The following is a 21,893-nucleotide window of genomic DNA, read 5'->3' on the forward strand; positions in this document are numbered from 1 at the left end:
TTTGTACTAAACAAAAATGGGCAGCCATAGGGCTGGGAGTGCCCACTGGAGACTGGGACAGAAATATCTAGATAGTCATAGTGGCATAAGATCCGCAAATGGAGATTATAGAATCTGTGTTTTAAGCAAGTCAGACAAACCAGAGAATGCTGGAAAATTTATGACTGATAACTAGAGATCAAGGCAGAGGCTATGGGGCAGGGTGGGTGGGGGGGTTCACCAGTGTTTAAGAATTAAGCTAGGGATGAAAATTTTTTGTTTTGTTTTGTTCTTTGTGGCCTGGAGTTGGGGAGGTGGTGATACATGAAGACATCTGGAATCCTGAGTAGTTGGCAAGATTGAATCAGGAGTACTGGTGTCTACAGTAAACACAGAAATGAATCTATTCCTAAGACAAACATTTTTCTGACTTGGATGCTGTGCTGTAAACACTGCTGTGGAAGGGAGATAATCTTAGAGCACAGATGAAGCAGGTCTTTGGGTTCACATGGTGAGGAAATAAATATAACCTAAGAGATTACTGCCACAGGTGAGTCAGTGTGCTCACTGGGTAAGATCTGCAACTTGTGTATTTTGACAACCTGAGACCAAAACATGAAGGACAATCTACATACAAATGTAGTCAATATAAATATACAAATATTCGATCATAGTATTATGGCATATTTCCCAGGATAAACTCTTAAAATTCATCTATGTAGAAGTATGTTTAAGTTTGATATGTAAGATAAAATGGAGTCCCTCTGATAGAGAGGATAGGGAAAAGAAGAATCCCATGGCTCTGCCTGCTCACCCCCCAAGTAGGGCTCCAGGTGACTCCTGAACAAGCTTCCTATAATGCAGTGTGAGAAATACCAATCTGGCTTACCCTTTTAAAAATCATTTTGAACTCTTAATTAATTCCATTTAATATACTGATATCTGTATTCATGGAGTTGTATCTTAGTATTTTAATCCAAAGCATTTCCTACTCAAGTTGGTATATTATAGAATTTTGAAGAATTTTCAGTGAAAAGAAGAAATATTAGAAATCTATATTCTCTTTGCTAAAAATGGATGTGTTACTTTAGGTGAGTTGCTATGCTCAAGTAAAGGGATTTGAGACTTTCAGAAATAAATAGTAGTTGCTGGAGGGTGATAGAAGATGAAGCTACACATATCCCGGTTATGGCTTCTGTTTCCCCATGCTTCCCTGATTTAGCCAACTCTACTTACTCTTCTAAATTTTAAAATGAAAATATCAATAAATGAGGAGGGTAAAGACATGAGTCAAAAGGAAGTAGTCACAAGTAAAAAGCTGCATCAGTCATGTGTAATAAACAGTATTAGGAATTAGTCTGCTTGAATATTCTCATTAGCACAAGGTTAACATGTATCAAATAACTGTTAGAGATTTTTTCATAGTAGTAAGTCTTCAAAGGAGCTCTATTTTATCTTTGAATTTCCTGTGATGAAGTTGTGGTTTAAAGAATCTCAAACACAGAAATACAGAGAAATGTTTTTGATTCCTGGTTATGATTAAGTTGAAAGTTTGTATGATTTTTTAAAATTCTACACCCCATATTGTAAATGTATATACAAACACAGAGAGGTATAAATGAATATAATTTTAAGTACTTAGTATCTTGAAAATGTGTAGTTGAATGAACTGAATTACATAAGTAACCATAATTGATATATGGTTACAATTAATATATAACCTAATTGTAAGTGTATATAATTCTATGAGTATATAAATTTATTGAAAAAGCTGTTATACTCTCTTTGAAATGTATTTTTTCCTTTATGAAAAATTTCAGTCACAGGTGGGTAATAAAGTGGTGTGTCAAGAAATGGATCCTTATAGTAAACCCTTTTACTTGTTTCAATTTATACATTTTCTTGAAAAAGAAAGCAAAAGCTAAATGTCACAGTATTACTTATCACAGAACTTTGACAACAAATGCAAACTTTTTCTATGATTAATTATTAAATGATGATATATGTGACTTTTGAGTAAATATAATATTAGCACAAGAAACAAAACTTTATTAGGAAGAATTTAATCCGAAAACTGGGCTGTGTCTTTTTAAATTTCTGTGTTACCTTTTAAGAAAAACTCTTAAATGTTTTTGGGCAACTTTTGTTCTAGCAGACGAGATGCTTAAAGAGAGATACACAGTTAGATTAGAAATATTACTATAGCTACTGACTATATATGGCTGTTGAATTCTTGAAATACAACTAGAGTAACTTTGGAGCTAGTTTTTAATTTTTTATTTAATTTTAATTAGTTTTAATGAAAATAGCCCCATATGGCTAGTGGCCACCATATTGATTGGACAGAACAGATCCAGATAATATGAGTACATGTCCAAGCGTGTTAGACTTGCCATCTAATTTTAGTTACTAGTGTATTTATTTTTTGTAATAAGCATTAACTAAATAGAAGCAGTGTAACATGGTTGTCTTGTAAAGAAGAATCTACAAGTAGAAGTCCCATGCTGAAATATTTGTAGTGTATATTGTATTCCACCTGATGAGGATATTATAGAATTAGGAATATTTAATGCATTTGGAGAACAAGTAGAAGTAAGCAAGGTAGAAAGAAAGAGTCTTTGGTTATATACCTGCTAACTCAAAATACCTCAATGTTGTAATGATTTCAAAAATCAAACTCTCAGTGGTAGAAATTGTCATAGCTGTCTCTCTACTGTGTGCCACTCTCCTTAGTCATTTCCAAAGATGATTTCATGTAATCCATACAATAGTCCTATGAGATAAGCATAAAGAGTAAGAGATAATAGGCCAGGTGCGGTGGCTTACACCTGTAATCCCTGCACTTCGGGAGGCTGAGGCTGGTGGATCACTTGAGGTCAGGAATTCAAGACCAGCCTGGCCAATGTGACGAAACCCCATCTCTTCTAAAAATACAAAAAATTAGCTGGGTGTGGTGGCATGCACCTGTAATCCTAGCTACTCAGGAGGCTGAGGCAGAAGAATCACTTCAACCCAGGAGGCGGAGGTTGCAGTGAGCCGAGAGCGTGCCACTGCACTCTAGCCTGGGCAACAAGAGCAAAACTCTATCTCAAAAAAAAATAAATAAAAAAGAGATAATCTGTAATTGAGAGAATTGAAATAATTTTTACTAAGTCATAAGTCCTTTTCAGGGGAGAAATGGCTAATGGAGAGAGAGACAAAAGAAAAATAATTTTTGATAAATGGCACAGGTAGTGAAATAGAGGGAAGCAGTAGAAAATATGGGAGATGGTTTTACAGTAGGTTATCCAAGGGTGTCTGGAAAAAAAATTATTTTATAGACAGAAAGGGAAGGATTTGGGGGTAGTTTTTGTTCTTAGGGTTTTTTTTCTAGATCATGAATCATATCACTAAATAAAGTTCTTTATTCTGCATGTGCTTACATAGATCATTTTATTATATATGGTAAAATATAATATTAACAATTTACACTGTTATGCCAAAAAGCCAGTACTGCAATGGTAGAATTTACCAGTAGGCTCAATTGAATGAATTCTCATTTGATTTTTTTTATATCCTTGGTTGGGGAATACTTTTGTAGGCAGAAACGGAATTACAGAGAGCTGCAATGGATGCTAGCCGAACAAGTCGTCATCTGGAGGAAACTATTAACAACTTTGAAAGGCAGAAAATGAAGGATATAAAGGTAATAAAGTAACTGTTAGGGTTCAAAACATGTTTTTAACCTTTTTTTTTACTTTAATGAAAAATTTAAATTACTCTAAATTTTTTAGCCCATAATACCCCTTATAAAGAAAATATGATAAATAAGGGGGCGGGCACAGTGGCTTATGCCTGTAATCCTAGCACTTTGGGAGGCCAAGGCAGGTGGATCAGTTGAGGCCAGGAGTTTGGGATGAGCCTGGGCAACATGGAAAAACCCCATCTCTACAAAAAACTAGCCAGGTGTGGTGGCACATGCTTGTAGACCCAGCTTCTTAGGGGGCTGAGGCAGGAGGATCACCTGAGCCTGGGGAGGTCGAGGCAGCAGTGAGCCATGACCGTGCCACTGCACTCCCTGCAGTCCAGCCTGGGCAACAGAGCCAGACCCTGCCCACCCCACCCCACAACAACAAAAAGAAAACAGAAAAAGCAAAAAATATTACAAATAAAATGTATTGGTTTTTTTTTTAGTAGAAACAGTGATATATAAAAGACCAACATTTCCAACCAGAAGCCAGATATTCAGCTTTTTATCACAAATACTATTTAATCAAGGGGAACTAACATTTATTGTGTTTTTATATGCCAGGCACTTTACATAAATTCTTGCAGTCTTCACAGCAACTCCATGAGGATGAGGTGGTGTTATGAAATTAAGCAGCCAGGCACAGTGGCTCACACCTGTAATCCCAGCACTTTGGGAAGCTAAGGCGGGCAGATCACTTGAGGTCAGGAGTTTGAGACCAGCCTGGCCAATGTGGGGAAACTCCATCTCTACTAAAAATACAAAAATTAGCCAGGCGTGATGGCACACACCTGTAATCCCAGCTACCTGGGAGGCTGAGGCAGGAGAATCACTTGAACCCAGGAGGTGGAGGTTGCAGTGAGCCAAGAAGATCATGCCACTGCACTCCAGCCTGGGTGACAGAGCGAGACTCTGACTCAAAAAAAAAAAAAAAAGAAATTAAGCAGAGACATAAAATATTTTACCCAAAGTACAATAGCCAGAAATAGGAGCTATAAACCAATTTTTTAATCTGTGGTTTCTGTTATAATACAGTCATTAATTTTTATAGCTTAATATTTTGTAGTAACTACATATCATCAAATAAGTAAACAGGGTAATAGTAGCCAACCACGTAAATTTGCATCTACTATGATATGGTATCTTAGTCAACAAAATCACAAGAATTGCCTTATTCTAACACATATGTAGATTTGAAACTTTCTTGGGGATCATGAAATTCAGCAGGTCTTTTTGATAACCATCTTGGAAACACTTGAAGGACCTCTTATGACCATCTTACAGACTAAAACTCATCTAAGGCTCTTTTTGGCTCACTGAAGATTTTCCTGTAACAGGCTTTAAATATGTTTGTTTTTATTTTACTACTATTGACAAATCTTCCTTCATAAGCTATATTCTTTCAATAAAATAAGCATTATCTGCCACTTAATTATATTATTTATCTCTGAAATCCATGAAACAGTATTCATTTACATCTTTTATTTTCTTTAATTTCCTGTCATAGTTTCAAAGGATTTCTGAGCTCAATTTAGTCACAGGCTCTGTACTCTTCTATGTAATAGTAGATTGCTACCCACAGAAGAACATCTCAGGAGGCTGTCCCGAGACAAATTCCTTTACCAAGCTAGGAGAGTATGGTCAGGGTATAAAGTTTTATAATTGCTGACATTCCCTCTTAAACTGAGCAAGGAAGGAGAATTATTAAGATAATTAATTAGCCTTAACCTGAAAAATGGGAATGGAGACTTGTGAGCTATGCCTGATTCCACTGTTGGATAAAGGCTTCTTTAGTGATGGGAAACTGATTCCTTGCTCCATCATTGTTCCTCAGACCTGCAAATTTTTCATTTACACATGGAAATTTGTCTCTATTCTGATCTTTGGGCTCACTTCTATGTTCTGCCTGGATGCTGGTTTTAATTCCCTGAGCATTACACAGTACCAAACCCCACAGAGAAAGTGAGTGCAGCATTCCCAGCTACAATTCCTGCTACCTTGGATTTCCTGAAGCAACAGGAGATGGAGTAAGGTGCTGTATGGTGGAGGGTGCACAGAGAAGAAAAGAGCTTCTGAGCTTTTCTCTATTGTGCCCCCTAAAGAGGAAAGTCTCTTGATTTTAGGAAGTCTCTTGGTCACAGAAGAAAAATTTTTTAAAAGACAGGAAGAAACTTACACTTTAAAAACATTGGGCTATAATTCACTGTGCAACTCTGGTCTTGAGTGTATACACAGATATATATCACCACTCAATGTTAGAACATTGTCATCACTTCAACCTTGTACAGTTTAGCTTTTGCCCCCCTGCCTGCCTCCCAACCCTAAGCAGCCACCACTAATTTATGGATTGAGCTATTCTGCACATTTCATAGAATGGAATCATCAAATATGTTGACTTCTGTGACTGGCTTCTTTCACTTAGCCTGCTTTCAAGGCATATCCATGTTGTAGGATGTATCAGTACTTCATTCCTTTTTTTGACCAAATAGTATTCCATTGTATGGATATACCACATTTTGTTTACTCATTTCATGGACATTTCGGTGGTTTCCACCTTTTGGCTATTGTGAATGCTAATATAAACATTTATGTACAAGTCTTTATGTAGACATATATTTTCATTTCTTTTGGATATATACCCAGGAGTGGAATTGCTGGATTATTTGTAACTTTATGCTTAAGCATTTGAGGAAGTGCCAGACCATTTTCTAAAGTGAATGCACCATTGTGTTTGCCCACCAGCAGTATATGAGAGTTACAACTTCTCTGCATCCTCACTACTTGCTATTCATCAGACTTCTTGATTGTAGTTCTCCTAGTGGATTTGAAGTAGTAGTTTTATTGTAGTAGTCGTCTCATTATAGTTTTGACTTACATTCCATGATGATGCTTTTTTTTTTTTTTTCTTAAGATAGAGACGAGGTCTCACTATGTTGCCCAGGCTGGTTTTGAACTCCTGGTCTCAGGTGATCCTCCCACTTCAGCCTCCCAAAGTGCTGGCATTACAGGCGTGAGTCACTGTGCCTGGCCTGATGATGCTTTTTGGCCATTTGTGTATATCTGCCTTGAACAAATGGCTATTGAGATCCTTTACCCTTTTTTTCTCCTTTTTTTTCTTTTTTTTTTTTTTTTCGAGACAGATTCTCGCTCTGTCGCCCAGGCTGGAGTGCAGTGGCGCGATCTCGGCTCACTGCAACCTCCACCTCCCAGGTTCAAGTGATTCTTCTGCCTCAGCCTCCCAAGTAGCTGGGATTACAGGCATGCACCACCACACCCGGCTAATTTTTGTATTTTTAGTAGAGATGGGGTTTTACCATGTTGGCCAGGCTGGTCGTGAACTCCTGACCTCAGGTGATCTGCCCACCTCCACCTCCCAAAGCTCTGGGATTACAGGCGTGAGCCACCATGCCCGGCTCCTTTACCCTTATTTTAACTGGATTGTCTTATTTCTGAGTTGTGAGAGATTTTTATATATTCTAGATAGAAGTCCCTTATCAGATAATCTGCAGTTTTTCCCATTCTGTGGGTTGCCTTGTCACTTTCTTGATAGTGTCTTTGAAGCACAGGTTTTTAATTTTCATGAAATCCAATTTATCTCTCTTTTCTTACTTGTGCTTTGATGTTATAGCTAAGAATCCACTGCCAAATCCAAGGTCATGAATATTTATTCCTATGTTCTCTTAACAATTTTATAGTTTCAGCCCTTATATGTCTTTGATCCATTTGAATTAATTTTTATATATGGTTAAATTTTGTAAAGGTTAAATTTCATTCTTTTGCATATGACTGTCTGGTTGCAGCACCATTTGTTGAAGGGACTATTCTTTCCTCAATTGAATGGTCTTGGCATCTTTGTTGAAAATCAGTTGATGTGGTTTTACTTCTGGGCTCCCTTTCCTTTTCATTGATCTATGTGTCTATCCTTATGTCAATACCACACTGTCCTAACATTGCTTTATGGTATGTTTTTAAATCAGGTAATGTGAGTCTTTGTACTTTCTTCTTTTTTTAAAATTGATGTGGCTATTCTGGATCTATGGCAATCCTGTATGAATCTTAGAATCAATTTGTCAATTTCTACAAAGAAGTCAGTTCGGGTTCTTACAAGGATTGTATCAAATATGTAGATCAATTTGAGGAGTATTGACATCTTAAGAGTAATTCTTCCAGTCCATGAACATGGGATATTTTTCCATTTATTTTAATATTCTTTAATTTCTTTAAACACTATTTGTAGTTTTCAGAATATAAATTGTGCACATCTTTTGTTAAACTTCTTCCTAAGTATTTTATACTTCTTGTTGCTATCGTAAATGGATTTGTTTTCCTAATTTCATTTTCAGATTGTCACAAATGTATAGAAATACAGTTGATTTTTGTATACTGACTTATGTCTTACAACCTTGCCAAACTTGATTATTAGTTCTAATAGTTTTTTAGTGGATTCGTTACAATTTTCCACATATAAATTCTGTTTTCTGCAACAACCTACAATTTAAATGCAAACTCCCATAACCCTAGCAGACTCCCAGAAATATGAGCACTAGATATCAATACCAGAGTCTGTTAGGGTTCTGAATCTCCATTCTGCACATCATTCCTCATCACTGTCAAATTGCTTCCTTTCCAAGTAAAGCCGCATTTGGGATCTTTTATAATAAAGAGGGATGTAGAAATCTCACAACAGTAGCCTCAAAGATCAGTCAATAAGGGTTACATTATAGCCCCCTTACTTTTTTTTTTTTTAATAGAGCTGGTGTCTCCCTGTGTTGCCCAGGCTTGTCTCAAACTCCTGGGCTCAAGCAATCCTCCCACCTCAACCTCCCCAGGTGCTGGGATTACAGGTGTAAGCTACTGTGCCTGGCTGGCCCCCTTATTTCTAATAAAAACAATAGTCAGATATTACCATGTTGATCTTAGCATGTCTCATAAACATTTCTGTGAGATAAATGCCTGGAAAAGTCAGATTATTGATACCACTCTTAATTTGGGGAGAAACGGAACATTCCTATTCTTACCTGTTATCAGGCTACTGCTTCTGATAAGGGCAGAGTTTGTGGCTCCTTTAACCATTCTGGAAGCAGAAATGATTGGCAGTAGTGAGCACTGCTCATAACTGTGAGTGCATTACTGTGTTTGAGGTGAGTTTAATTGATAAGTCCATTTGAATTTTGGTATTGGTATTAAACAGCAAGGTAATACATTTTTGAAGACTTTTCATAGGAACTTTGCAGAGTGTCTCTCTGAAATCGGCTGGCATAGAACTTAGTGTACAAAATGAGAGAAAAATCACAATCCTGTTTGTTTCCATGTATTAGGAAAAGTCATCAGTATATGATGAATGTCAAGGGAATTTCACAGTTACAAAAAAGGTACTTAACCAGGAGTTGCTCCTGTAACAAATGGGGATGGGAACTCAGTATGTAGTGAAGTAGCTGACATGAGCAAGAAACATCATAATTAATTTTTATAGCTTTATTTTTATTATAAATATAAATCATAAAACTTATCCATAAAATTAGACAAAAATTTAGTCTCACCACCCAAAAATATTCATTTTTTATTTTATCCTTCCAGATTTTTCCTATGCATATATACAGAGACATAGTAATAACAATAACAAACATTTCTTAAACATTGTCTGTGTGCCAGGTACCATTCTAAGCATTTTGCATGAATAAACTCATTAATTCCTCAAAACATCATTATGAGGAAGGTACTATTTTTAGTCCTAACAGTTATACATCAATGGGACCACCGTATATATAGCATCTCTTCTTAAAACTTATGGATATATTTATGCCAAGAAACAGATCCATATCATTTTTTTGTTATCTTTATGATATTCTGCAGTATGGTTATACTAGTTCATTTAACCAGTCCTCATTGGTGAATGTCTAGGTTATTTTTGCAATTGTAGCTGTCACTGCATCATTACACATTGTTAAACAGCAGCCTTTGTGCTGGCCCAGTTATTCTCTTGAGATAAATTACCAGAAGTGGAGTTCCTCCTTCAGAGCATACTTTTAATTTTAATATATATTTTTAAAACTTCTGTCCACAAAGGTTAAACCAATTTACGTTCCTACTAAACCTTGCATAAGCACAGGTACAATGGTGAGTTTGTTTTTTTGTTGTTGTTTTGAGACAGAGTCTCGCTCTGTCACACAGTCTGTAGTATGGTGGCATGATCTTGGGTTACTGCAACCTCTGCCTCCCGGATTCAAGTGATTCTCCTGCCTCAGCCACCCAAGTAGCTGGCATTACAGGCGTGCACCACCATGCCCAGCTAATTTTTGTATTTTTAGTAGAAACAGGGTTTCACCATGTTGGCCAGGGTAGTCTAGAACTCCTGACCTCAGGTGATCCACCTGCCTCGGCCTCCCAAAGTGCCAGGATTACAGGCATGAGCCACTGCACCCGGCCTGTGTTTGTTGTTTTTTTTTTTTAATATGACAATGTTGACACCATAAGTTGCAGTATTTTTAATAATAGGTAAAAAATCAGTATCATTTGTGTTATTACTGCTGAGCTTTTTAAATGTATTTAGCGATACATTCCTTTAGTAAATTATATTTTTCCTTAACCTATATTTCTGTTGGATGTTGGAATTTCTTACTAATTTCTAAAAATTCTTTATATTGAGAAAATTAGCCCTTCAAATTAAAGAGAAAGTATGTTGCAAATGTATTTTCTCATTTTACTGCTTAGTGTTTTTGCCACCTCTAAGTTTTCTTTTTATTGCCAAATCCATCTTCTTATCTTTGGTTTCTTCCTTGGTGTCATGCTTAGAAAGGTTTTCATCCCCTAGGTTATATAAATACTTGCTTATATTTTCTTGATTTTTAAAATACTTTAAACATTAAATATTTAGCTGGCAGCTGTGTTTTGCATGTGGTACGACATGGATATATAACTTTAATTTTCAAATGGATAAACAGTTCTCTTACATCCTTTATTGAATATCCTATACGCTGGAGAGCTGTCATTTCCTCTTTGCGAAAATGTTCTTAAAACCTTTTCGTTAAAGATCTCTTTTGTTAATCAAACAAGATGGATGCTTTACTGTTAGTCATTACATCCAATTTAGCTAGTTGACTTTGTTGTTCTTGTTGAGACAGAAGTCTCCAAATGTTGCCCAAGCTGGTCTGGGACACCTGGACCCAAGGGAACCTCCTCCCTCAGCCTGCCAAGTAGCTGGGATTATAGGCACATGCCATTGTGCCTGGCTAGTTTACTTCTTGAGCATTAAAAATGGGTGTATTGGCTTGTCATCGACTCTTCGTTCAGTTTTCCCTCTAGGAGTTTCCACACTCAAGAAAACCTGACTCCTTTCTGGTTTGCAACTATCATAAGGACACTAACAACTAAGAGTAGGTCCCAGCCCTGGTCAGAAGCCATTCCTCCTCTAAGGTATTCCTGGGTATCTAGAGATACTTTAATATGAAATCCAAAATTGTATTTTAGCATAATGCCGTTTATCCATCAGTTGCCAGCCTGGTATACCTGAGCCCTCTATAACTTACATGAAGTGACAGTAAGGGTCATTGTGAATCATCGTTACAAGTCTTTTTTACCTAGGCCCTGTCCTCTCAGACTGACGTATATCACTGAGTAGCAATCAGAGCCTCTTAATGCTCCCTTAAGTGTTTTTCCAATCATCTAGGAAGAATGGGGCTGGAGGAAAGAATCACAGGCCACTGATAAGTATCTATATGGCTATCCTCCAAAGTATATGACCACTCCTTTCTGGGTTATCTTAGGAGAGCAGGGATGAAGGAAAATGTGTATTTGACTACTGCCTACTAATATAATCCATGCTTGAGTATTTTCTGCCTTGTTCTTATTCAGCCCAGTTCTCTCTACATTGCTTATTTTGTTATAATTAACAAAATGATAAGATCATATTTATTAAAAACTTGCCTGGTTTCCATCTTTTCCACACCTACTGATTACCTCACCCCCTGCTTAGATCAACATGCACATCTTCACTCATACTCTTTGTTCATGATCTTCCTTGTCATAGGTTTCCATCATGCTTATAGAGGTTACCTGCACGGTTTATCTGTGAAGGAAATGATTGATTCCGGCAAGAACAGCACAGTTCAGTGGGCAATAGCAAAAAAACCTTAAATGAGCTATAACCTTGTAGCCTTAGAATCAGATCTGTGTCTAAAGAGTCTGACCTGTGAGCAACACTGGGCAAGTCAATATTTGTAAACTAGAACGCTCTATGCAAATATATGGTGTTATCATCAGTGGCAGGAGTGTCATTACTACCAAGTAACTCCTTTATGTTTAGAGAATACAAGTAGCATACAGTGTGGAACATAATTCCTGTTTAAAAAACGTTCTCCTGTTTAAACATCAGTTGGAATTGCTAAAACACCAGCTTCATAACTGAACTGCTCTAATACTTAATAAGCATATGGTATTAAAATTATATAGTAGCATACATTTTAGTCAGATCTTATGTTATTATAAATGTCAATTACTAGGTATAAAGAGAACTAACTAAAATAAAAAATAAGAGGGAAGTGGATGGTGATAAAGGAAATACTTTGTATTATTTGAAGGTTTGGCAGCAAAAGGTCTTCACAACTGTTTTTCAGTTATCTTTTGTACTTTATTTACCCTATAGAAAAACAGATACTTCTGTATTTTATAAAATACCAAGACTATAGTGAGGAATAAAGTTACTATATTCATAAAGAAATTTAAATCATTGTTTAAATTCAATTCTTTGGTTTTTTTTAGACTATATTTTCTGAATTTATCACAATCGAAATGTTATTTCACGGCAAAGCTTTAGAGGTCTACACTGCTGCCTACCAGAATATACAAAACATTGATGAAGATGAAGATTTAGAGGTAGGACTATGTCTATCTAAGCTCAGTTCTTCTGTTAATGTGGAAATATTTAAAAGAGAACATTAGTATGTGATTAATATCTTTTTTTTTTTTGAGACAGAGTCTCACTCTGTTGCCCAAGTTGGAGTGCAGTAGTGTGATCTCAGCTCACTGCAACTTCCGTCTCGTGGGTTTAAGCAATTCTTCTGCCTCAGCCTCCTAACTAGCTTGGATTACAGGTGCCCGCCACCATGCCCAGCTAATTTTTGTATTTTTAGTAGAGATGCAGTTTCACCATGTTAGCCAGGCTGGTCTTGAACTCCTGATCTCAAGTGATACGCCCACCTCGGCCTCCCAAAGTGCTGGGATTACAGGCATGAACCACCGTGCCCAGCCATGATTAGTATCTTAACTTTGAACACTATAGTGGTTATTATGTGTAATCCAAAATAGATGAACTTTTATGATTTTCCATTTATTTTCAATTTTTCAAATTAACCATGGCAAAAGTTCCAAGAGTTAATTTATTAATAGCTAGTAAAATATAATTTACATAAAGCCATTAAATAAAATACTGTGTATCATTTTGACTGGTGATATAAGCCCACTGAAGTGTGCTAAAAAATAGTTAACATTTATTGACTTCAGTAACATTTGAGTGTTTACATCATGCACAATGCCCAAAGCTTTACATGCATTTTCTCATTCAAACCTCAAAATCTTAGGTGGTAGGTGCTGCTATAACTCTCATTTTACAACTACAGAAGCAGGCTTAGAGGATTTAAATAACTTATTTGTGGCCACTTAGCTAGTAAATAGCAGAATCAGGATTCTGACTGACTGTGTAATGTAATCACTAAGCTATGAAATAAATGTAGGTTATGTAAGCTTGCTTTATGCTGATGGTTTTAGTTAAATGCAAATAATTCTGATTGGCCAACTAACATTAGAGCAAGTAAATATCAAAGACTGGTCCTCAATGAGCAATTCTGTAAATATCCAACCCTCTTACCTTCCAAACGGAAAAAATGAAGGTACGAAAGTATTTATGCTGAAGTAACTGTTCAAGACATACTTTCCCCATCTCATCTCTAATATAGAAGTGAAAAAAGCCATGTAATCCCACATATAACAAGAGTTCTGTATTAATAAAATATGGAAGTGTCTACCACTTAACAAATTTGAAGATTCCCCCGATTTTTTTTTTTTTTTTTTGTATCTTCCCCCGCCTTCCAAGACAGAGTCTTGCTCTGTCACCCAGTCTGGAGTGCAGTGGTGCGATCTCGGCTCACTGCAACCTCCGCCTCCTGGGTTCAAGTGATTCTCCTGCCTCAGCCTACCTAGTAGCTGGGATTACAGGTGCCTGCCACCATGCCCGGCTAATTTTTCTATTTTTAGTAGAGATGGGGTTTCACCATGTTGGCCAGGCTGCTCTCAAACTCCCGACCTCATAATCCGCCCGCCTTGGCCTCCCAAAGTGCTGGGATCACAGGCGTGAGCCACTGCGCCTGGCCTAGTTTTTTTTGTATCTTAACTATCAGTAAAGAGACCCTCTGAGCCTTCCTGTCCCATTACTCCACGGGCTCCAGGAAACTTAAAACCAGAATATAGGTTAAAGAGAATGAAGAAAGTACATATTACAGTATGTGTATATGTGTTTCTAATGTCAAAATCTAATTTGTTTTATATCAGTTATATATACATATTTATATTTCTCTATTTGTCAATCATGACTTCCCAAGTGTTAATTCCAAACACTACAGCTAAGGTTTCTTAACTTTCACTCCTTTTCATGTCCTGCTTTTAAAAATTGATTATGAAGGCCAGGCACAGTGGCCCACACCTGCAATCCCAGCACTTTGGGAGCCCAAGGCGGGTGGATCACCTGAGGTCAGGAGTTCGAGACCAGCCTGGCCAACATGGTGAAACCCCATCTCTACTAAAAATACAAAAATTAGCCAGGCTTGGTGGCACGCGCCTGTAATCCCAGCTACTCGGGAGGCTGAGGCAGAAGAATCGCTTGAATCCGGGCGTCAGAGTTTGCAGTGAGCCAAGATCATGCCACTGCACTCTAGCCTGGCAACAGAGTGAGACTCCATCCAAAAAAAAAAACTTGATTATCAAGCTTTCATCTGTCATTTATAAAATAATAAAATAGCAAACGTTTATATAATTACTTTGAGTCAGCTACTGATCTTTGCATTTTAACTATATCATTTTAATCCTCTCAATAACTTTGATAAAAGTACTTATTTCTGATTTCTGTGGATGAGAAAACTGAAGCACAGTGAGGTTAAGAAACTTCCCAGAGATCTCATAGCTAGTAAGTAGCAGAGCTGGAAGTCTGATCCGGAAGTCTGACTACAAGGCCCATTATGCTTTAATCCTCTCTACATTAGACTTCCAGAAGTATGGTTCTTGATGAGTGGCATTAACCATTTCCTGCAAGAAGTAACACTGCATTTAGTGGCAGCTTCAAAAGTGATCCCCCAATTCTCCTTCAAGACTGTAGTCCACTTTATAAGTATTTTCATTCTTCTTTGTATAATACCTTTGACATACCATTTGTTAACTGACCTTAAAGTTCCTTCAAGCCCTTCAGTCCCCAAGGTTTTCCTCCTCATCCCAGAGGTCCTAGATATTTTTTTGTCACACCACTTCCTTTATAACTTTTTACCAGTACTCTTAATCAGCCATCTAAGTAGTTTGTGGGAGAAGAGCTCTATGTAAAACTAAAGGTCTCCGGAATATGTGGTAGATTTTTTTTTAATATCAACTCCCCTACTTTCTAGTGAAGTAATACTGAGCAAGTTAACTTCTTCGCTCTTCAGCTTCCTCCTTTCTAAAATGGAGATACTGTAGTACTTACCTCATATAGTGTTTGTTCAACAACTGTTTATTGAGCACCTCATATGCACCAAGCACCATTCTAAGTGTGAAGGATGTAGCATTCTAAGAAACAGTCCAAGTTGTCAAAGCAGTAACTTTAAATCTACCAGGGAATTCAGACATTAAAAACTGTGTAATGATTTTTTTATATGACCAGTCCTATAAAGAAAAAAAAAAAGTGTTGTGTGTGATGGAGGGTTACAAATAGTCTGGAGAATCAGAGTGATTTCTTAGAATCTTGAGGGATGCATGGGAGGATGCCTGGCAAAAACTTTCAGGTAGAGGGCATAGATAGATATACCAAGGTCCTGAGGCAGGACTGTTGTGAAGAAAGAACAGTGTATTTAAAACAACACAGTTGAGAATCATGGCATGTCATGGAAAAAAACAAAAACAAAACAGCACAGTATAGGGCACGAGCACGTGTTCAATGAACCACAGGCATAAACTATTATTATGCCATTATTGTGGAGAGAACAGTCTGGAGAGAACTGTGGAACCAGGGGAAGTAACTAATTGATGTAACTGATATATCAAACAGGTACCTACCAAGAGGAAAGATCCTGTAAATACAGGTTTCTTGGAAAGAAGTAAAGAAAACATGCAGAAAAAGACAGAAATAACTTGCTATTCTTCCAGATAGTCCATGCTTTGTAAGAACCGCTGAGATTTATTCCAGCTGCAGCCAGTGTTTTGTAGTTAGGCACCTCCAGTTATATCACAAACCATCTTAATTGTTCTTCACATAAAAAGTACTGTCAGCTGGGCGCGGTGGCTCATGCCTGTAATCCCAGCACTTTGGGAGGCCGAGGCAGGCGGATCATGAGGTCAGGAGTTCGAGACCATCCTGGCCAACATGATGAAACTCTGTCTCTACTAAAGATATAAAAAATTAGCCAGGCATGGTGGCGCGTGCCTGTAATCCCAGCTACTCGAGAGGCTGAGATGGAAGGAATCGCTTGAACCTGGGAGGCAGAGGTTGCAGTGAGCTGAGAGTGTGCCAATTGCACTCCAGCCTGGGTGACAGGGTGAGACTCTATCTCACAAAAAAAAAAAATATTGTCAGGTCACCTCTGTATTAACTTCAGAGCACATTCAGATCTTGAGAACTGCTCTTAGAAGAGATCTTGGACCATGTTGGAAAATGCATTATTGCCAATAAATTGGAGTAAAATGTTAATTGTAATAAATATTTAACTGGTATAGACTTGTATCCCAAGGGTTACATACTGTTTTCCATTTCCCACTTTAAATTCCATCTTTGCTAGAAAAGTTAATGTTTTAAGAAAAATGTTTCTCCTCCAAATACCAGCTAATGAGTCATTGCATTTATTTTTTATTTATTTATTTATTTTTTTGAGACGGAGTCTCGCTCTGTCGCCCAGGCTGGAGTGCAGTGGCGCTATCTCCACTCACTGCAAGCTCCGCCTCCCGGATTCACACCATTCTCCTGCTTCAGCCTCCTGACTAGCTGGGACTACAGGCACCCGCCACCTCGCCTGGCTAATTTTTTGTATTTTTAGTAGAGATGGGGTTTCACCATGTTAGCCAGGATGGTCTCGATCTCCTGACCTCATGATCCGCCCGCCTTGGCCTCCCAAAGTGCTGGGACTGCAGGCGTGAGCCACGGTGCCCGGCCCAAGTCATTGCATTTTTATGTCATACCAGGATGTCAGTGGTCCATGTCTGGCACCAAAATTGAATTTGGTCCTTGGTAACCTGTTAACCTAATTAGCACCCCTGAATTACTTTAAAACACAAGTCTCACCTCCTGTCTTTTATCCTTGACTCCTTCCGTGTCCTGAAGTTCTCTTAAAGGAATGTGTAGCCACCCCCTAATTTAGGTCTCCTTTTCCCCCCCTCATAGATGTTAATTAAATTCACTTTTGCCAAATGAATGATGTTAACTATGTTTGCAACTTAACTGTTAACATCATTCATTTGGCAAAAATGAATTTAATTAACATCTTCTATTTGCCAGGGAGGAGATGCATAGATAAAACAGGGCTCCGTTGGTCTAGAGAACTTAAGACTCATTGAGACAGATATGTAATCAATTACAAAACACTGAGTTAAAAAGCAGTACTTGAGGGTATGAACAGTAGGTGCTACTCAGACAACAGGGGAATGCAGAAGAAAGATGGCGTTTTACATTGTGCTTGAAGGACAAGTAATTCTTGAAGGACAGTTTGTTGTAATTCTAGGCTAAGGAACCAGCATTGCAAAGGCATAGTATAACTTAGGTTCTGCATTTACAGTCAAGAGCCACAAAAAGTTTTAGAATAGAGAAAGAGGCCAAGCGTGGTGGCTCACACTTGTAATCTCAGCATTACGGGAGGCTGAAGCAGGAGGATTGCTTGCGGCCAGGAGTTTGAGACCAGCCTGGGCAACATAGCGAGACACTGTCTGCACAAAAAGTGAAAAAATTAGCCAGAGTACCCCTGTGGTCCCAGCTACTCAGGAGGCTGAAGCAGGAGAATCACTTGAGCCCAGGAGTTCGAGGCTACAGTGAGCTATGACTGCACTACTGCAATTCAGCCTAAGTGACAGTGGGTCCCTGTCTAAAGAGAGCAATAACATATTTTGGCCTTAAATAAAAAGTAAGCTGTGAAGGGTATGTAGAGTCAATAAAAGAGAAGTGCCTCAGGTGAGAAATGTATAAGTTTTATATATATAAAATTTTTTTTAAGACAGGGTCTCATCCTGTTGCCCATGCTGGCGTGCAGTGGCACAATCACAGCTCACTGCAGCCTTGACCTCTGAGCTTAGGTGATCCTCCCACCTCAGCCTCCCAAGTAGCTGGAATTATAGGCACGTCCCACTATGCCTGGCTAATTTTCATATTTTTTGTAGAGATGGAGTTTCGCCATGTTGCCCAGGCTGGTCTTGAACTCCTGGGGCTCAAGCGATCCGCCTGCGTTGGCCTCCCAAAGTGTCAGGTGAGAAATTTAGGGAGAATGCCCAGGCTTATAGTTTGGTCTTCTAGGTAAAAGATAATGTCTTTCATTGTAATAGCTAATCTAGAGCTACACGGTTCAGTAAAGTAGCCATTAGGCATATATAACTATTTAAAGTTCAATTTAAAAATTCAGCTCCTCGGCCACGTGAACCACATTTCAAGTGCTTAGTAGCCACACATGGCCAGTGGCTACGTTTCTGTACAGTACAGAACAGCAAGCATTTCCATCATCTCAGAAAGTTCTTCTGGACAGTGCTGGTCTAGAGCAGGAGATAGTTGGGAGCATGAATACAGCTATCACAGGGTATGCTTGTCAGGGGATTAGTTGAAGGGTAGTCATTAACAGTGTAGATAAGATCTTTCAGAGAAACTTTTTTTTTGAGACAGGGTCTCACTCTATTGCCCAGGATGGAGTGCAGTGGCGTGTTGTGATCTTGGCTCACTGCAACCTCTGCCTCCCAGGCTCAAGTGATTCTCCTGCGTCAGCCTCCCAAGTAGCTGGGACTACAAGCATGCACCACCACCCCTGGCTGATTGTTTTTTTGTTTGGAGAGATAGGGTTTCGCCATGTTGCCCAGGCTGATCTCAAACTCCTAGGCTCAAGTGATCCTCCTGCCTTGGCCTCCCAAAGTGCTAGGATTATAGGCATGAGCCACTGTGTGCAGCAGCATTGTTTTTATATATAATAAGTGGCCTAAAGGAAACCCTTTAAAAATATTTTAGGTATAAGTAGTAGAAAAGGAGATGTAAAGAAATAGAGAAGCCAGGACAATGAAAGAGTTTAGTAGCATTTAAGTTTCAGGAAGGGGGTCAGTGAGGATGAAGAGGAAAAAAAGACCTTGGTGATGTGAGGAAGAGCAATTTTAGTGGGAGGTGAAAAGCTCAATTGTAGTTTGTTGATAAATAAATGGAAAAGAAATTTGTTTAAAAAGAAAATGGAGATGAAGTCGAATATTCAAGAAAGTTTTTTAAGTAGTTATACCTTGAGATAACTAAAAAAAAAAAGACTGATCTTGAGCTTGTTTTTTAGGAGAGGGAACCTGTGACAACAAAAGCTTTTGTTGGTTGGGTTTGAAGTTTTGGTTAAAGGAAAAATGCACATTGGAACTAAATCAGAATGGTATTTTTAAAGAGAAAGAAGGAAAAGGAGGGGCGAAAAGCTTGAGGGAAAGTTCAAGAGATTCATATCTGATAACCTTACCTATTAGTCTATATAGAGAAATGGTGGGGGTAGGGTAGAAAAGATGGAGCTAGAAAGGCTTAAAAGTGGTAAACATTTGGAAATAGTGCCTTAAGGAAAGAGAACTGACAAGTCATGGCATTCCAGATCCTAGTAAGGTTGGAATCCATAAATTATAGTGGTTCCAATTTACTCTTATGTAATTTTCATAGCAGTACTGCAGAGTTAAATTGGTAAGAGTTGAGAATTTGCAGAACAGAAAGATTCAAAGGTATGAGTCGCAGCCTCCCTACTAGCTTGCATGCTCTTTGAGGGTCTCAACTTCTGCAGTTCTCCTGGCAAAAGCATTTAAATGATTGTTTCATGACTAATTACTGTTTAATATCTGTCATCATCTTACATAGTTCAAATAGAATTTTTAGCTTTCATCTTTCTAGCTTATTTTTGTTGTCTTTTCTTTTACATTTACAATAATTGGAATTTTGTCCATTTGGGGGGAGTTGTTTTTTTAAAAAAAAATCTTAACTAAGGAACTTAATTTGACTGTCTTGATTTTGTTTAGCATCTACTTTATAATGCTATTTTATCATTACAATAGGTTTTCCGAAATTCTCTGTATGCACCAGATTATTCATCTCGTTTAGATATTGTAAGAGCAAATTCAAAGTCACCTCTTCAGAGATCACTGTCAGCTAAGTGTGTATCTGGAACAGGACAGGTGAGCAAGAAACCGTACTCTAAAGGAATTTGAGCTGCTGCCTTTGGAATTGTTGAGTTCTAAAAATGTTTCCCCTCAGTCATATCACCTCGGTAACTTATCCTCCCCTGGACCTATTTCTTCTCTTCTATAAAATGACAGAAGATTGCATTAAGTGCAGCTCTATTATTTCTTAATTATCTTTTATACTGTAATTACATATTACTCTCTAAAGCATAACACTTGAGAGCAGAAGTGGAAAAGACAAAAGAATGCTAATGCAGATGTGTTATCTGCTATAATATGAAGAGCAGATTCTGAAGTCCAACTTAGGTTTAAATCTCACTATCAAAACTTAGTGGATCTCATTAAATTATAAAGTTAAATACCAAATTATACTAAAAAAGGGCTTTTACTGAACACAGAAATCATTTCATTTTTTTTCTATATCCAGAAAGCTTGAGTTTCCCAGTATCTAGAGCAGGGGCTGACAAACTTTTTCTTTAAGATGTGGAGACTAACATTCTTAGGCTTTGTGGGCCATATGGTTTCTACCCCAACAACTATAAATAACAACTGTTAAGTAACACATAAAGCAGTATGACTGTGTTCTAATAAAATTCTATTTACAAAAGCAGGAGGCTGGCTGGGCCGCAACTTGCCAAACCCTGATCTAGAGAGCTATGCCCTTTTCATATCTAGCCTTCAGAATATAAAATTCAACAAACTTATTTTCAAGATACAACTTTTAGGTAAATTTGATACCATACTTTCTATTTTCATTTGATTCTCCTGTAAGCATTTATTTTGTTTTATATGTATGTATCTCTCCCCCAACCCAATTGTATTTTTTTTATTCCGGCATTAAGTGCCTTGAACATAAATTCCATAAATTTACTTTTATAGTCCATATAAAGTTTTGACTACAACTAATAATGTCACCTTAGCTAACACTTGTATAGCACTTCAGAATGCATTATCCCAGGGTTTCTCAACCTCAGCACTGCTGACTTTGGGACAAATAATTGGGCCCACCAGGGAGGAAGAAGGGGACGGAATACTGTCCTGTATATTGTGACGACATCAAGCAGATATTAGCATCCCCCGCCTCTACCTACAACATGCCAGTAGCACACATAAACACACAGCCCCAATACTGACAAACAACAGTGTCTCTAGACATTCCCAAATGTCCCCTGGGTTAGATATAATCACCCTCAAGAGAAGTTTTAAGCAATATGCCCCACGTGGCGGCAGTCAGGCAACTTAAAACTGGTGAATTCAGATTCTCAACTCATTCCATTTAAATCACACTACTTTTACATCAGTATTTCTGTCCCACTGCCTAGCTGAAATATCCTTCTATTTTTGCCATCCATTTTATGATTCTCAAATGCTGTTTCTGTGACCCAAAATTTATTTTTAATATTCATAATATAGAGTCTATACTTTTAATGTTTTTGAAGTATTGATGGCTATCCAACTAAAATCAAATGGCTAATTACACATTTTTATTCAAAAAAATGTGATGAATGAAAAAACTGGCTTCTGAGCTTAAAATTCATAGGGAATTTTCACTACTAAAAATTATGACATGGACATTTTTTTGAAA

The 21,893-nt window shown here is 37.8% G+C and overlaps 1 protein-coding gene across 9 annotated transcripts in view; it reads left to right on the forward strand.

Moving 5' to 3' along the window:
- CIBAR1 (CBY1 interacting BAR domain containing 1) overlaps positions 1 to 21,893 on the forward strand; it is a 30,978-nt gene that overhangs the window by 5,662 nt on the left and 3,423 nt on the right. For 2 of the 9 annotated variants that reach the window (NR_156452.2, NR_156451.2), the window contains 3 exons: positions 3,560 to 3,664; positions 12,464 to 12,577; positions 20,183 to 20,302. Coding sequence is in view for 2 of the 9 variants with exons in the window: in NM_145269.5 (NP_660312.2) it covers positions 1,800 to 1,805; positions 3,560 to 3,664; positions 12,464 to 12,577; positions 20,183 to 20,302 (345 nt within the window). In the remaining 7 variants the exon portion in view is untranslated. The other 7 variants (NR_104268.2, NR_104267.2, NR_156453.2 and 4 more) reach the window with 7 other exon arrangements.

This window comes from Homo sapiens, chromosome 8 (genome assembly GCF_000001405.40).
Source record: "Homo sapiens chromosome 8, GRCh38.p14 Primary Assembly".
In the NCBI taxonomy this organism is placed as follows: domain Eukaryota; kingdom Metazoa; phylum Chordata; class Mammalia; order Primates; family Hominidae; genus Homo; species Homo sapiens.